This window comes from Homo sapiens, chromosome 5 (assembly GCF_000001405.40).
Source record: "Homo sapiens chromosome 5, GRCh38.p14 Primary Assembly".
Lineage (NCBI taxonomy): Eukaryota > Metazoa > Chordata > Mammalia > Primates > Hominidae > Homo > Homo sapiens.
This window is the reverse complement of record NC_000005.10, coordinates 119,229,127-119,246,868: the sequence shown is the minus strand read 5'-3', so window position 1 is coordinate 119,246,868 and position 17,742 is coordinate 119,229,127. Positions and strand designations below refer to the sequence as shown.

The following is a 17,742-nucleotide window of genomic DNA, read 5'->3' as shown; positions in this document are numbered from 1 at the left end:
CTAAGGTAAGGAGTTCAAGACCAGCCTGACCAACAAGGAGAAACCCCATCTCTACTAAAAATACAAAACTAGCCCGGCGAGGTGGCACATGCCTGTAATCCCAGCTACTCAGGAGGCTGGGGCAGGAGAACTGCTTCGACCCGGGAGGTGGAGTTTGTAGTGACCCAAGATCACACCATTGCGCTCCAGCCTGGGCAACAAGAGTGAAACTCCATCTCAAAAAAAAAAAAAAAAAAAAGGAAAAGAAAAGAAACCAAATAAAAATTTTAGGCCTGCATTCCTGTGCAGTAAGGAATTTCCAAAACAAAAATAGAGAAAAATCTGTGTAGGCCTAGGATCATAACACCTTGATTCTGTATAGAGTGTTGTAATCTACCAATTGCTTTAACACAAAATACTTAAAAATCCATCTAGTAAGAGAGTAAGAGAAACAATGTAGGTAACAAGGAGGTTAAGTGTACAATGCTACAGAAACTTACAATACTGTAGGGATTAAAATCAACGTTTCCTATCTCTCAGCAGAGCTTTTGCCGTATAGGTGTACAGTAAGGTAATCTCTTCTTTACATTATTGAATGCTCACCAGGGATCAGAACAGCTAGAAAGAGGGAAGTACTTGACACCTAGAGGCCCTCTGACCAGGCAAAGCTATATTTTAACTATAAGACAAAGTCAATTATTACAATTTCAGGATACTTAATTTACTAAGATTTTGTATTTCCAGCCCTTATCAAAATAAATGTGCCTGTAAAGCAAATTATACGCATCTTTACTTATGGGAAGAACGTAAATGCTTTCAGGACATGTATTTTAGGTTTAGCGAAACCTACTTATTTCCTGGTTTTATTGGAGATCATTTTTCTAAACGTTTCTTTACTCTAAGAAATTCATTAATTCATACTACCCTGCATATGAATTTGTTAAATTAGGGCTTCTGAATACATTGTATATTTTCAACTCTTTTTTTTTTTTAACCTTGATTAAACAATAAACCACAGGATCAAAGTACAAACTAAAGAACCAATCTAGGCCAGGTGCGGTGGCTCACAACTGTAATCCCAGCACTTTGGGAGGCAGAGGCAGGCAGGCGGATCACAAGGTCAGGAGATCGAGACCATCCTGGCCAACATGGCGAAACCCCATCTCTACTAAAACACAAAAAATTAGCAGGGTGTAGTGGCGCACGCCTGTAGTCCCAGCTACTCTGGAAGCTGAAGCAGGGAAATCGCTTGAACCCGGGAGGTGGAGGTTGCAGTGAGCCGAGATCGTGCCACTGTGCTCCAGCCTGGCGACAGAGTAAGACTCCGTCTCAAAAAAAAAAAAAAAAAGAACCGACTTAACTATGGCATATTCTAAACTAGAGAGTCAGTCCAAATAAGAAAGTAGTTTCAAACTGAAGGAAAATAATTCTGTTGGTATATATATATTTGATTTTAAGAAAAAGGCTTTTAAAAATTCCATAATTCTAGTCTTTTCCTGGTTGAGAATTATGAAAACAATTTGCTGGTTTTAAAAAACCCATCTGATTCTACTAAATAAGTGTAAGTGCTTAAATTAATAAATTCGATGAAACTAAACCCCCCTAGTCTAGGGTTGCTGACCATTAAAATAACATAGGGATTAGTCTAAACTGATTTACCAATTACCAAACAGGGCCAAAAGACCCTCCATTAAAATTACTAGGTGTGTTATTAAAATGCAGATCCCTGAGTCTTGGACTTACTTATCAACTGAGTATTTCTGGAGTGAGACCCAGCAATTTGCATATTTAATAAGCTGTTTAACATTTTTAACAAGCTGCTTAACATTTGAAAAAACCTGTCTTAAGTTTTCAACACAATGGACTCTGAAAAGGACTGCTAAAGGCAAGGTTTATCCAGAATTCTTGAATTAGGCACTGAGGGACTAGATAATAATATATATGAAAAACTGGCGAGCAATGTGGGATAAAAGAAAATATCAATACATTTCTCAGCCCCTGGAAATTAAATTCAGTAAATTATGTAACTCTGAACATGGAGTCAAGACAAATTCTAATATCTGAATTATGTTTATATTCATGGAAAATTTGGTGTTTTAGTATGAATTAAACATATTTTCAAACAACTGAAAAATAGAAAATTTTCAAGTTAAATATTCCATTCATTGAAAGATTAAATAGCAATTAGCACTGCTGACTACAAAGGAATTAATATAACTATTATTTAAATAGATTGATGTCATCAATACGATTAAAGAGCTAAGGTTTCTGAAGATTTCATTTTGTAGATGTTGTGGCATCAACTGTGTTTACCTTTATATTGCCTTCGGCAGATCCTGTAACAAAGTACTCTTCAGTTGGATCAACAGCAACGGCTTTAACAGGAGAATCATGGCTCTGGAAAAGCTGCCTCTGTTGTCGTTGACAAAGGTCAAATACATATGTAAAACCTTTTCTGCCACCTGATATTAGTAGCTGATGTTTTGGAGCATATGCTAAAACTGTGGCTCCACTGTCATGGCAGGTAAATGCTGAAAGTAAATTAAAAAAAAAACAAAAACACTTAACAATAAAAGAAATAGACTTCTGGCTTTTGGCTAAAGTGAAATAATAGACCAGATTTGCAATCCTGCCTGAAACAATTAAAAAATCAAATGAAATATAAAAACCAATGATTTCAGACACTGGATATAAGGTAATGAAGAATGATCTCTGAGAGATGGGAAACAAACTGGGTGAGTCATAAAACTGCCCTAGCTTACTACTTAGAGTTTCCTGACCATGGCACCAGGAGAGGAACCCTGGTTGAACTGGTTCCGTACCAGCCTCGGTGGAGTACTCAGAAGCATTTGACTCAGTAGCGGAGGAAAATCAGCCCTAGACCAAATGCTGCTTTGGTCCTGTTTAACCAAGGTCCCCCAGATTCAACTGTTTCCAAGTAAGTTGTCCCTGAGCAAAGCTCAAGAACATTTACAGAATACAAAAATAATAGGCACTTAATGAAGTAAAATTCACAATGCTTGCCATCTAATAATAAATTAACAGGAATGTGATAAAGCAGAAAATATAACCCATAAGGAGAAGAAAAATCCATCAATTGAAACTAACCCAGAAATAATAGAGATGACAGAATTAGTAGGTAAGGAAATTAAAAGTCCATTATAATTTTAAGTTAATTAGAGGCATGAAAGGCCTAAATCAAAATTTAACAGATTAAAAACAGCAAGGCTCAAGATAAAAAAGGAACTGGATGGGATTAACAGCAGATTAAGCCTTGTAAAATAAAAGATTCATGAATTTGAAGACACAGCAGTATGAGAAATATAAAAATATGATACTATTTTTCTTTAAAAAAGAGTCCAGCCTAACAAATTTTAGGGAAAAAAATCTGCATATAGCTCAAGGAGAATATTGCATAATGAACAGTGAGGATTCTGGAGTTAGATTGCCTGGGTTTCAATCCTGGTTTCTGTGTGGGATTAAATGTGTACTTCTGCTGAATTACTTACCTAAGTCTCAGTTTCATCATTTGTAAAAGAGATTATCACCTACCTAATAGGGTTGCCTGAGGATTTAATATATGCAGATCATGTATAGTCCATGGCATAAACTAAACACTTAGTTATTATTGTAAGACTTGAAATAAAATTAATTACAGAGAAGGAACTTTGACCAGCACTTTGAGATATAACTTCCCAGAGGAAAATGCACACTTTTTAAGTATATACCTTGATGAGCACTGACAAATGAATACATCTGTGTAACCATCACTAAGATCAAGGTACAGAATATTTTCATCATCCCAGAACGTTCCTTCATGCCCCTTCATGGTCAATTCTCCTCCCCAACAAAAGCAATCACTATTCTGACTTCTATCCAATTAGTTCATTCCAGAAGTTCTATTATTTTGCATATTACATGCAGGTTTATGGTCCATTTTGAGTTAATTTTTATGAAAGGTGAGGTCTGTATCTGGGTTCAATTTTTTATATGTTGACATTAAATTGTTCTGGCATTATTTGTTGAAAAGACTATCGTTTCTCCACTGAATTGCCTCTGTGACATATTAAACATAAGTCTACTATATATGTGAGTCTATTAGTGGGCTCCCCATTCTGTTCTATGATCTATATGTATATTCTTAAGCTAATACCACAATGTCTTGATTACTGTAGCTTATAAGTGTTGAAATCAGATAGTATAATGTGAGTCCCACAAGTGTGTTTTTCTCTAGTATTTGGTTGGCTATTCCTTTGCTTTCCCATATAAACTTCAGAATCAGTTTGTTGATATCTGCAAAGTAGCATGCTGGAATTTTGATTAGGATTGTGTTGAATCTATAAAATCAAGACGAACTGACATCTTAAGAATATTGTGTCTTCTAATCTGTGAATGTGGAGTATCACTCATTTATTTAGATCTTCTTTGATTTAAATCATTTTTATAGTTTTGTGCATACACACCCTGTACATATTTTGTTAGATTTATGTCTCAGTATTTCATTGTTTTGGGTGCTATTGTAAATGGTAATATTCTTTAAATTTCAAATTGCAATTGTTCATTGTTGATGCATCAAAAAGCAACTGAATTTAGTACAGCTGACCCTTCAACAACACTGGTTTGAAATGTGTGGGTCCACTTAGATGTGGTTTATTCAATAGATATATTGGAACATTTTTTAAAGATTTGAGATAATTTGAAAAAACTTGCAGACAACCCACATAGCCAAGAAATATCCAAAAAATTAAGAAAAAGTATGCCATGAATGCATAAAACATATGTAGATACTAGTCTATTTTATCATTTACTACCATAAAATATACACAAATTACAAAAAGTTAAATTTATTGAAACATACGCACACAAATACAGATTGTAAGTGGTGCCATCGACAGTCGAGAAATGTAAACAAAAATACAGTATGAAATCATAAGTACATAAAATTAATTATAGTACATACTGTACTACTGTTATAATTTAGTAGCCACCTCCTGTTGCTATTGCAGTTAGCTCAAGTGTTGCGAGTATATACTTAAAATGCTGTGTGATGCTCATCATCTCCATGTGAGCAGGTCTTCTCTCCAGTAAACTGTATATTGCAGTGAAAAGTGATCTCCTGTGGCACTTGTGAATTTTTCATTGTATTTAGTGCAACAGTGTAAACCTTGAATAACACCATGGGAACCATACAACATGCCACTAGTAATGCTGGAAGTGCTCCCAAAAAGCAGACCAAAGTCAAGACATTACAAGAAAAAAGTTGAATTGCTTGATATGCACCACAAATTGAGGTCTGCAGCTGTAGTTGCCTGCCATTTCAGACAGATAATTCATCTTTTTTTTTTTTTTTTTTTTGAGACGGAGTCTTGCTCTGTCGCCCAGGCTGGAGAGCAGTGGCTCCATCTCAGCTCACTGCAAGCTCCGCCTCCCGGGTTCACACCATTCTCCTGCCTCAGCCTCCCAAGTAGCTAGGACTACAGGCATCCACCACAACGCCTGGCTAATTTTTTTTTGGTATTTTAAGTAGAGATGGGGTTTCACCGTGTTAGCCAGGATTGTCTAGATCTCCTGACCTCGTGATCCACCCGCCTTGGCCTCCCAAAGTGCTGGGATTACAGGCATGAGCCACTGCGCCCGGCCTCAGACAGAAAATTCATCTTGTAAACAGATGACATAAACTTTACAATATCAATAAATACAGTACACTACTGTATGTACTCATGATTTTCATAACATTTTCTTTTTTCTAGCTTCCTATAAAACACATATACAAAATATGTGTTAATTGACTATATTAATAATAAGGTATCCAGTAAACACTAGGCTATTAGTAGTTAAATTCTGGGGGGAATAAAAAATTATGATTTTCATCTGTGCAGGGGTCAGCATCCCAATCCTTATGTTGTTCAAGGGTCAACTGTATATTGACCTTGTATCCTGGGACCTTGCTATACTTGTGAATTTATTTTGTAGATTCTTTGGGATATTTTATAGAAAATTATGTTTTCTGTGAATAAAGACAGTTTTATTTCTTCCCTTCCATTTATATACATTTTATTTCCTATTATTGTGTTACTGCATTAGCTAGGAATTCCAGTGCAATGTTGAATAGGAGTGGTAAGAGGGGACATAATATTGAGTTTACATCATGTTTACAACGATAACCTGTGGCTATCAGATTCAAAGTAAAGACAAATGATTTTTATATTATCGATGTCTCACTGTCCCCCATCAAGGTATAGTGAAGAGTTAATTACGTATATTGCATCTTTTTGCTTTCAAATCCTGCCATCCTGGGCAAAAGAAATCTCATGGGTTAATAAATATATGTGTCATCAGTAACAAATCCACTTATAAATAATATTTAGCTTATGAATTTCCTGACTTTCAAAATTTATAAAATGCTTTGAAAACTTACCATGGACTAAACTATTGGCAGGTGCTACAAGAGTATCCCACAAACATACGTTTCTGGAAAAAAAAAAAAAGATTACTTCTGAGTGACACAAAAGCTAACAATAAAAAATATGTCATATATAACTGTGTGACCTTTAAACCTTGCTGTCACAGAAGGTTCTTAAATTTATAAAAGCAACAAATACAAGTAACCAACAAATTTATATGAAACTAATTTTTATATAAAAAAAAGAATGCAGTGGTGGAATCTTGGCTCACTGCAGCCTCGACCTTCTGGGCTCAAGCAATCTTCCCACCTCAATGTCCCGAGTAGCTGGGACTACAGATGTGTGCCACCATGTCTGGCTAATTTTTTAAATTTTTTTTTGTAGAGATGGAGTCTCCCTATGTTGCCCAGGCTGGTCTCAAATTCCTGGGCTGAAATGATCCTCCTGCCTCAGCCTGCCAAGGCACTGGGATTACAGGCATGAGCCAACATGCTCTGGCTACAATTTTTTGTTTTTTTTTTTTTTTGAGATGGAGTTTTACACTCTTGTTGCCTAGGCTGGAGTGCAATGGTGTGATCTTGGCTCACTGCAACCTCTGCCTCCCAGGTTCAAGCGATTCTCCTGCCTCAGCCCCCAGAGTAGCTGGGATTACAGGCACCTGCCACCACGCCTGGCTAATTTTTTGTATTTTTAGTAGAGATAGGGTTTCACCATGTTGCCCAGGCTGGACTCAAACTCCTGGCCTCAAGTGATCCGCCCACCTCGGCCTCCCAAAGTGCTGGGATTACAAGCATGAGCCACTGTGCCCGACCCACAATTTTTACAGAAAATTTAAAGCTACTATTATAGCTTAAAAATTTGAATAACTTTAGATTAACATGCGTTTACAAATAATAATATATGAAGTCTGAATATGGAAACTTCTTTTTGTATTCACTGAATCTCTAACAGTTGGACTGACATACATTAACAGGAGAGATGCTGAATTTTCTTAAGCACAAAGAAAACTTGTTTCTACTGTGTGGGGGGACCAACATACGTAAGAAATATCTACGGAAGACGAGCTGAAGAATCTATAGTCTTACAATCCTGTTTCTAGTGCAAAGTGTGGCCTTACAGATAAATATATAAGCTAAGCAAACTCAGTGGGCCTTGATCTCAGAACTCAGTTATATAACAGAAATCAAAAGAGGCAGACAGATACTGGGGCAGGAGATGACACTTTCTTACAACCACAGCTTTTGGGGGTGGGGCTGGAATAACATGGCCAATAAATAATAGTTTTTAGAATAAAAATACTGTATCTAAAGCCATAAGTAAACTTTAGTCAAACACAAGGACAGAAACAATAAAAAAAAGTTCAGCTATACTTTCTCATACTTCAATTTTAGCTATCATCTCTTACCTATTGTCAGTTGAAAGACCAGCTGTAGCTATCAGAGAGGAGGAACTAACGAAGACAAAATCATTGGCTGTTTTGTTATGACACTGCCAAGTCTGGAATGGTTACAAACAATACGTGTTACTCCTCTCACTAAAAATGTCATAACCAGGTAAATGTATTCTTCGAAAAGTGATCATGTAGTTTCTGGCTTTCTTAAATCCTCTGTATCGTTTTTTTCCTTTGAACTTTAGAAAAATTGTAAAAGTAATACAGAGAACTTTCATATACCTTTTACCCAGATGCAGCAACTTTTTAACATTTTGGCACATTTGTTTTGCCTCTACTTCTCTTTCATATTTGTAGACACCCACGCATACACACACTTTTCCTGAACTATTTAAGTAGGCTGCATATATCATGACCCGTTATGAATCTCTTTGCTTTTGTTCAACCAAAAGTTCAAAGGAAAACATGAGGTTAAACTTAAAGACCTTCTCCTAGCATAGTGAAAATTTCTGTTTCAGAAGATAGAAACTAGAATTTTAGATGATACCAGACTTTTGTTAAATAATTGACATATATTTTTCAAAAATATTTAAGCTTTTAAAAATTCAAGTACATGAAAAAAATTACTAATAGTCATCAAAATTAGAAAACATATAGCATTTTTCAATATTCTACCAAACAGTACACTTAATTATGAGGTTTCTTCATTTATAAAAGCTTCAAAATTATGTTTTACATATTTCTCTTTAATAAAAAATGATTTTTTTTAAGTATCCCAAAATCACCACACCAAAGATTATTCCTTTGAGCCAACTCCCCATTTCCCCTGGAACACTACTGGAGCTGGGCTAGATGATGTGTCCTTAAAACAGACAAAATCCTCTTAATCTCCAAAAGCCAGTTATTCATAATTTAAACCAATTCATTTTTTTAAAAGTTAAAAAAAACAGTCCCTTAGAGAACAAACTTATACATCTAAATCTTTAAGCTTAATAAAAATATGAGAAACAGTTAATATTCTTTCAAGGTACCCTAATCAATCCTCCCATGCTTGCTTGCTTTTACTTAGATCAGTACTGTATTCTAGCAATTAACCTTGGGCAAATTACCAGAATCTTAACCTATATTCTTAACTTTTTTTCTGATAGGAATTGCTTAGTCCTATAAAGAGCTTCACTGAAGATATGAAATATAAATTCAGTATTCTATGAAGCCACAGAAAGTTCATAAAAGCCTGCATAATCCTAAATTAAAAGAGATGAACAAGAAAATAACAGTACCAGCTATAGGATGTCCTTTTCACTTTGTTTGTTCATAAGAGATAATTGCAGAAAAATAACCAGACGCATTGGTCTGGTAATCATTCTATTTAGGCATAATATAATAACCAGTTTAGTGAGGTTAGAAAAGGGCTCTAGTAATCCACAAGATGTATAGGTATCTGGGGGTATCATGTTGCTTCTATACATGTCAACTTCCCAAATTATCAGAGACTAAGGAATTTTATGCTTCACAGAGTAATTTTCACATAACACAAGGACAGAATCTTACAGCAAAGTGACTGAGAACACAGGACTATATTTTATTTATTAGTTCTATATTTCTTGTCTCAAATACGTATTCTTGGTTTATTTAAAATGAAAATTCAAATTTTATTTAAAGGTAGAAATTCTTGGCTTACCAGGTATGGCTTAGGCATGCTTCCAGTAACTGGACAACATTTCCAGTTTGTTTGATACAAACTTAAATATCCATCAGCATCAACTATTCCAAACTTAGAGAAAGAAAATATTTAAAAGTATTTAATATAAATATAAAAGCATATATTTATCCTTACCCTCAGTGTGACACCCATATTTTGACTCGTAAACATTTGACTGTATGTCATGTGATTTTTCACTTCACCTATACATGGATCTATTTCAGAAAAACATTCAGCTACTACTTTAAAAATCCCAGGGTGAACATAAAGAGAACAAACATCAGACACCCATTTTATTACAGTAGCCTCTAGCATAGTCTATATATTCTCTGTAAGTATTACAAAAACAGGATACTGGATTAACAGATTATGCTATGTGACAGAACTTTATCATATATAAGAAAGAAAACTGTTCATTTCCAGAAAGATAAAATAAGGATTTTCAGAAACAAACAATAAGGAAAACACATGAACAAGAGTACAAAGTAAAATGATATAAGGATTATCAAAGTAAAATAATTCCGCTATGGGAGCTCAGGGCAAGTCTGACTGGTAAGATGTCAAAATAATCCACTAAGGGAGGTATTCTTGATACAGATCTTGAAGGATGAGTAAGACAGCTAAATTTTTTCCCTTTGATTATAAAAATAACGCAGCTTATTATAAAGTATATAAAATAAATGTCTGCTTTGTACTCCCACCCTCCTCTGCCTCTAGATCTAACATCTATTAACAATTTGATGTGCTTCCTTTCAGATTTGTTTCTATGAGTATTCAAAAATTCACAATATAGCATTTAAAAAATTGGGATCATAATAATACCACTACACAATTACATTTTTTATTTATTATAGCTATCTTTCCCAGGTAATTACACATAAATTTAGATCATTCTTGTGCTGTGTGTAGTATTACACTGTACAGTGGTATTACAATTTAAAACTTTCCCCATACCGTTTTCAATTTTCTGTAATATAAAAAGGGCTGCTTTGAACATTCCTATATATACATATACCTTTGCATAATTATGTAGGATAGACATCTAGAAATGGGAAAGTTTTGTTAAAGAGCATCACTTAAAATTAATAGACTATGCCAAAATTAAATCCTATGTGGTAATATAAATTGATACAGCCATTTTTCTTACACTTTAGTTAACATGGGGTATTTTTAAAATCTAAAATACTTGTTAATTTTATGCAGACAAGAATAAGTCTCAATTTATTTGCACTTCTTCAATTATTAGTGAAGGTAGAAGGCTACTGGCCAGGCAAAGTTTCTTGGTAAACTGTTAAGATGTTTTATCTATTTCTCTACTATTTGTCTTTTAAAAAATTTAACTGATATGACTAATATTATGAATATTAACCTACTGTTTTTATATTTGTTAATAATATTTTCCCAGGTCTATTCCTTTTTCTAGTTTATCTTACATTTTCTGGAGTAGATCTAGGTATGTTCTTCAGAAAGGGTATACACATGGAATGTGTTAAGTCTCTGTATACCTAAAAATATGTTTATTTTGCTAGCAAATTTGAATGATAGTTTGGATGCACATCGACTCAGTTCCCATTCCTTGTCCATCAGAATTCTGTGGATATTGTTCTCCTATCTATTTGTGACAGGCCAACGACATTTAGTGGCAGGGTGGGATGTGGGTTGTAAATAACCTTTTTCATTCTCACTCCTTTTTAGAACCTTATAGGATTCTCTCTTTAACTCTAAAAACCAAAAGTTACACAAACAGGATGTGTGCAGGTACGTGTTGCTTCTCAATACTTGGTAGGCCCTTTCTCTTCCAATATTCTATTCTTTGCTTTGGGGAAGTATCTATTATTCCTTTGAATATTGTTTTTCCTCCATTTTTTTCTTCTGAAATATTTCCTAAATTATCATCATTATGGGATAGTTTCTTAATTTGTGCTTCCCAGCAACAAACCTGATTTTCAACTATTTCCATTCTGCTGTTCAGCTTTTCTAATAAGTAGTTCCCCCACTGACCACATTTTTGGGAATCGTATTTTTAATTTCCAATAACTCTTTTCTGTTTTCCTACTGTCCTTGTTTAATGCTAGCATGTTCTTGTTGTATAAATGTAATATATTCTTGAATCTCTGAGGAATTAGTCCTCATAGGTTATTTATTATTTATTCTGCTTAATACCCCTTTCCAGACACTTAGTTTTTCTGAAATATTCACTGGCTTTTGGCACTGTATTTCTATTCATAATTGAATATCCAATTCATCAGAATTACTGTGATACAGTGTGAGTTATCTCTTCCATTTACCTTAAGAGGCTTCCCTACTAGAAGAGATAGCATGCTTAGGGGCTGTGCTATTAGACTTCGTCAAGGCTAAGGTGAATGAATAGTAAGTTGACTGCCGGTCAAAGATACTTGTGCAGGCAAAGACAAGCAGTTTTTTGTGCCTTAAAATAGCCTATGCAGAAGGCTGTAGTGAGTGTTAAAGCTGAAAAATAGTCACATTATAGAAGGTCTTAAATACTTGTTAAAGAAGTTGACATGAGGAGCCTTGAAGGGTTCTTGAAAAAAATAATAATGTGATCTCACCTATATTGTAATCATGTAGCTATGTTTTTTGTTATATAATACTGTTGGCAAGATGCATTAGAGAGATAAGGGTTCAGGTATAGAGATTAGTTAGGAGCAATATAAAACTGACAACCCAAGTTGAAATGCACAAAAAGCACATTGATAGAGAATACAACTAAAAGTACAATAGAATTATACAGGCATCTGTACTAAGTTCCCTTAATTTCCCACTAAGGAGCTAAGAATGTTGCTAATTAGTATTAAGAAACAAGCTCTCAAAATTTTGTTTCACAACTACATAAAACTACTTTTGTGAAATGAAAATAGAGCCATGTGATAAACATGGTAGACAAAAAAGGTTGCAGCACACAATGATAAAAGGAATGTGTGAGGAGAATTTAATGTGTGAGGGAGGCTGAGGGGAAAGAAAAGGCAAGGTGAACCATCAGTTAGAGTCTGTGAGAGTAATTTTTGGTGCAGCATGGCCCTGAAGACAAAAAGAAGACTGATTTACTCTTTAATTATTTTGTAAAGGGCTAATAACATATTAGGAGCAAAAAGAGGCAGTTTGGGCTGGCTGTGGGTGCACTGCCTCTGAACTAGCCCTGCTTCACAAGGAGCAGTACTGTTCAATAAAAGATTGCTGTCTAACATAAAAGTGGGGAGGGGGGCAGTTTGAACAAAGGATTATGAGAAGTGAAGACAGTAAAGGATGCTCTAGAGCAGGTCTGGCAAACTTTTTCTTAGGTGGCCACATAATAAATATTTTATTTTGCCAGCTATAAGGTCTTTGTCCTCCTGAACTATGCTGCTGTAGTAGGAAGTAGCCAAAGAAAAATAATGAATGGGGGTAACTGTGGTCCAACAAAACTTTATTTATAAAGCAGGTGGCTAGGATGTAGTTTGCTGATGTTGTTCTGGAGCAGTACCTCTTAAAAAACTTTAATATTTGTAAAAATCACAACAATATCGGGTTAAAATGCAGATGGTGATTCAGCACATCTGGAGAAGGAACAATAATATGCATTTATAATAAGCTCTAGATGTTACTTGCTGCTGGATCACACACTGAGTAGGTTCCGAGGGATAAAGAGAGTAGGAGCATTTAATAATAAAAAGTGTGTAATATAAGGTGAACTTATAATCGTTTGGTCATTAAGAATCACTTAACTGAGTTTTAATGGACACCTATATAACATACTTCTAGGAAGAACAAGTGAAGTTAAGTGTTCTTTGAGAAGAATTTAAAAGCATCTATATAGATCAATACTTTACTACTACCCACGGAGCTGTTCTTTTCAGAAACCCAAACTAGTGGAATTTATAAACCTCCAACACAATAAATTTTTTACCATTTACATTTTTATATAATACCTTATTTCCCTGATAGTTAAATCTCATTCTTGTAACTCTTGAATTGCCACCAGATCGAAAACAGGTTATTTGTTGAGAATGGCCCCATTCAAACATTCTGACACTTCCATCTTGAGCTCCTGTCAGATCTGCATTACAAGAGGGCAAAAATTGCAGATTTATTTCAAGAATCTTTGGGAAAAGTTATTTCTTTATCCTATGTGAAAATCTTTATGAAAGAAACATCTAAATCAACTTATATAAATTTACCTTTGTATGAAATTTCAGTTGAATACTATTCATCATAAAAATAGTTATACAATACACTTTCATTTGACTAAGAACACATCCTCAAATACGATAGGAGCATTTAAATCATAGCTCCATAAATTTTATTTCCCTTTAAAGTTATCTCAATGATGTCTTAACAGCCTTTTATTTTTTATAATAAATTATATATTACTCATTATAAGAAATTCTTAGGTTAGAATCAATCCTTATTATACTATTAATGTGTAAATGTATACACATTTTTCTTTGAAAAAAATCAGATTAAAGAAGGTTTTAAATGTCATGCTAAAGAAAAAAATCAGTTCTAAAAGTTATCCTGATTGGCCTAATATCTCAAATATATGTTATCTGTTTTTTTTGTAATTTTGTAGTTAATTTTTTTTTTTTTTAGAGACAGGGTCTTGCAGTGTTGCCAAGGCTGGTCTTTAACTCTTGGCCTCAAGTGATCCTTCCACTTCAGCCTCTAAGAGGCTGGGATTTATAGGCACGTGCCACTGCACCGGACTTGTTTTACTGAGAAATATGAATAAGATAAATGACTATTGATTCTTCGCTTTGCCATTTATTATTTGTGTTATACTAGGAAATTTACTTAATCTCTCTGAGACCATTTCCTTCCTGTAAAAAGGGACTAATGATATATAAGTCACTGGACAGTTGTGAGTAGAAAATGAGATCACATATATAAGGCACCCAGAAATATGCCTAACATATAACACTCAATTTATAGAGTATCATTATCAATATTAATGTGGTATGGAGGTAGTAAAAAAAATACATTTATATAAAACATCTAGCACTTGCTAGTCACATATCAGTCAAGTTTCCCTCATTCCTTATCAAATATTTAAAATAAATGAACTTCAATTGGTTTGAAAGCTTTTACCATTGGGCAGCGGTAGGAGGTAGAGTTTTTTGAGACTAGGTATTTGACTGGCTCTACTCCCTTTCCCCCAATGCGCTTGCATAGCTTAATCAGAAAAATAAATTGGGGTGGTTGCACTAAAATCGCTCAACTTTTCTATTATTATTTATAACGTTAAAAAATTAAGAGCTGGGTTTGGTGGCACACACCTATAGTACTAGCTACTCAGGAGACTGAGGCAGAAGAATCACTTGAGCCCAGGAGTTCAAAGCTGTAGTGTGCCTTGATTGTGCTGTAAGTAGCCATAAAACTCCTGCCTGGGCAACATAATGAGACCCTGTCTCTTAAAAAAATCTTAAAAAAAAGAAATTAATTGGGAGGCTATTAGGCTAAGACAGCTCCAGGGCCTTGCATGCCTATACGAGCAAATCAAAACTCAATTCAATGTAAACAGTAAAATGAAGCTTAAGCTTAATCAATCAGAAACCACCAACTAACTTCTAACTAGATGCTTATCAATTAGAAACCCCCAACTAACTTCTAACTGAGGACTTTCCACTTAACCAATCAAATACTGTCTTTGTTGTGCTTCCTTGAACACCTTATAAAAGTTTTCCCCTCATGCCACCTCGGTGAAGCCTTAATGGCTTCTGGTCTGGTGTTGCCCAGTTCATGAATTTGAGCTGAAAGCTAAAATAAACTCATTAAATTTTTAATGTACCTATGTTTTAAGAGTTCTCAGCAGAGGAACATGAAGGAGATCCCCTGATGATGACCTCCAGGAGCAACAAGTAACCAGGCACAGTTACCTCCTGGTAGGCCCCTTGTGCCTACTGTTTCTCACTGTGCATTTGAAGGTTACCGCTTGACCTGAAACCTGCAACTTTTATCCTTTAAGCATTTTTCATTCAGATCAGGTCTAGAAGTCAGACTGAACCTGACTGGATTGGGTCCAGTCAGAGGCCTCAGGTAGATAAGATTTTGGAAGGACAAGAAATCATGGGTTCATCTGAATTTAAGGAATTCAAAAACTCCTCCAACTGGAACTCCAGCTAATTTTATGCATAAACATTATGGACCCAGAACCTGTGCTTTCCTAGAGAAATGAGTATATTTACCAAAGACAATTTAGAATTATGGTGGCCACAACAGGGAAGTTTTTAATTTACACAAAATTGTCCATCTACAGGAAGCACTAAATAAAAGGGAATCTCTAATGCTTCACAAACAGTGGGAGGCATTTTTTGATTGGTATGCAGAGGCTACTAGAAGACTAAATGAACTGTAAATTGTCTCTCTAAAAGAGTCTTTACAAAAGACAAATGAGAAATCTTAAAAGTCTTCAACAAATAATAGTAAAGTTTTAGCAATCTGGGTGGGTAATCTTGTCCCATTTTCAGAAACACAATTTGGATCCAGATATCCTATTTATTTATTTATTTATTTATTTTGAGACGGAGTCTTGTTCTGTTGCCCAGGCTGGAGTGCAATCGTGTGATCTCGGCTCACTGTAACCTCCACCTCCTGGGTTCAAGTGATTCTCCTGCCTCAGCCTCCTGAGTAGATGGGACTACAGGCGTGTGCCACCACGCCCAGCTAATTTTTTGTATTTTTAGTAGAGGTGGGGTTTTACCATGTTAGCCAGGTTGGTATCAATCTCCTTACCTTGTGATCTGCCCGCCTTGGCCTCCCAAAGTGCTGGGATTACAGGCGTGAGCCACTGTGCCCGGCCCAGATATCCTTTTTATAAACGACTGAGTTTGATATTTTGTATCTGGCAGATCGCCAAAATTTAGAAGGAAAACTATAGAATCTGCTTCTGCCTGTATGTTTGTGTATGACTTTATATATGTTAAATATATGTAATATTTTTCTATCACCAGATGGTATTGTCAAAATTAATTTTTAATAATTATATCTAACGCACTTAAAATAAGCACTTATATAAATTAAGTATTCCTTAAACTTTTAGAAAGATAGAAACAGACCCAAATGTTTTTCAAGTTCATCTGATGTGGGATAATCTTTGGTAAATGAAAGCAAATTTAAGTTTGTTGGTTTAATTAAAGCAGGCATATCCTTAAGAGTTACCAGCACTAAATATAATGTGATATACAACTTTTATTTTACTTAGGCTTACTAGTCAAATACACTCATGTTATCTTTGTTACAAAATTTGTCAGCAAAAAATAAATAATGACTAACTTGATGGCTGGCCTTGTCTGGTGTTATGTCTACTTCAAAACAGTTTTCCAAATCCCTTTGACAACTTATACCCTTAGTATTTCATTAAGTTAAATTAAATGATGGATATTAATTGAATATCTAGATCACTTCCAAATTACATAAAATACTAAAACATTAATTGCTAAACATAAGCTTATCTACTTTTGGCTTCTTATTGCAGAAGAATAAAGATATTTGGGTCTGTTAGTAAAGGTGTCCTGTGACACACTGAAAAACTATACTATGAAAAAGAACATGCTTCTGTAAATTATGAAAGATATAGATTTGCTACTCTATAGAATGCTGGTGTGACTGACAGTGCACAACTGCTTATTACCTAGTTTTCACTAGAAACTAACATTACTAACAGTTAAGAATTCTAATCAATATATGTAATTAAAACTACTGAAAATAGATAAATAATTTTGTATGTCAGGAAAGTAAGATGTTTTTGGAATGTGAAGCTATGAGGTATGAAGGATGTTTTTCTTATGGGAAAAAGAATAATTTTTGTCCTAAAGCAGACTGTTCCATATTGGGAAAGAGGAAGAGTACAGAACAAAATATGCATGGATACGAGAATGCTATACAGGGTTTGTGTAAGAGGAATTTGGAAAAATAATTTTATGTGTGGCCAAGCTGGCTAATATGTGTGTATTTATATATGTTATTAAAAGAATGATGAGCCTTAATATCAGAAGTACATTGGTGCAAAGTTTTACTGGAGTATTGGTTTTCTCTTGACAAGAGATTATGAAAGGTTTTCCTTTACCTTTTAAGCAATCTGACCACAAAATCGAGATTTTGTTTTATCAAGATAATTTCCTGTGCTTCATGTCTTTTTAGGTCTTTGATTACCTAGACCTAATGTTAATATTATTATTTTTACCTTTTAAGCAATCTGACTACAAAATCGAGATTTTGTTTTTTTGTCTTTTTTTTTTTTCCTTTATTGTGGAGAATGGGGTCTCCCTATATTG

The 17,742-nt window shown here is 34.6% G+C and overlaps 1 protein-coding gene across 26 annotated transcripts in view; it reads right to left on the bottom strand.

The window, feature by feature from the left end:
• Positions 1-17,742, bottom strand: part of DMXL1 (Dmx like 1) — a 178,101-nt gene that overhangs the window by 2,259 nt on the left and 158,100 nt on the right. For 22 of the 26 annotated variants that reach the window (NR_170869.1, XM_011543213.3, NM_001349240.2 and 19 more), the window contains 5 exons: positions 13,402-13,529; positions 9,455-9,547; positions 7,789-7,880; positions 6,398-6,450; positions 2,293-2,510 (listed from right to left, as the gene is read on the bottom strand). Coding sequence is in view for 23 of the 26 variants with exons in the window: in XM_011543213.3 (XP_011541515.1) it covers positions 2,293-2,510; positions 6,398-6,450; positions 7,789-7,880; positions 9,455-9,547; positions 13,402-13,529 (584 nt within the window). In the remaining 3 variants the exon portion in view is untranslated. Of the gene's footprint in view, positions 1-2,292; positions 2,511-6,397; positions 6,451-7,788; positions 8,013-9,454; positions 9,548-13,401; positions 13,530-17,742 lie in introns of those variants that run through there. The other 4 variants (NR_170868.1, NR_170867.1, XM_047416838.1 and 1 more) reach the window with 4 other exon arrangements.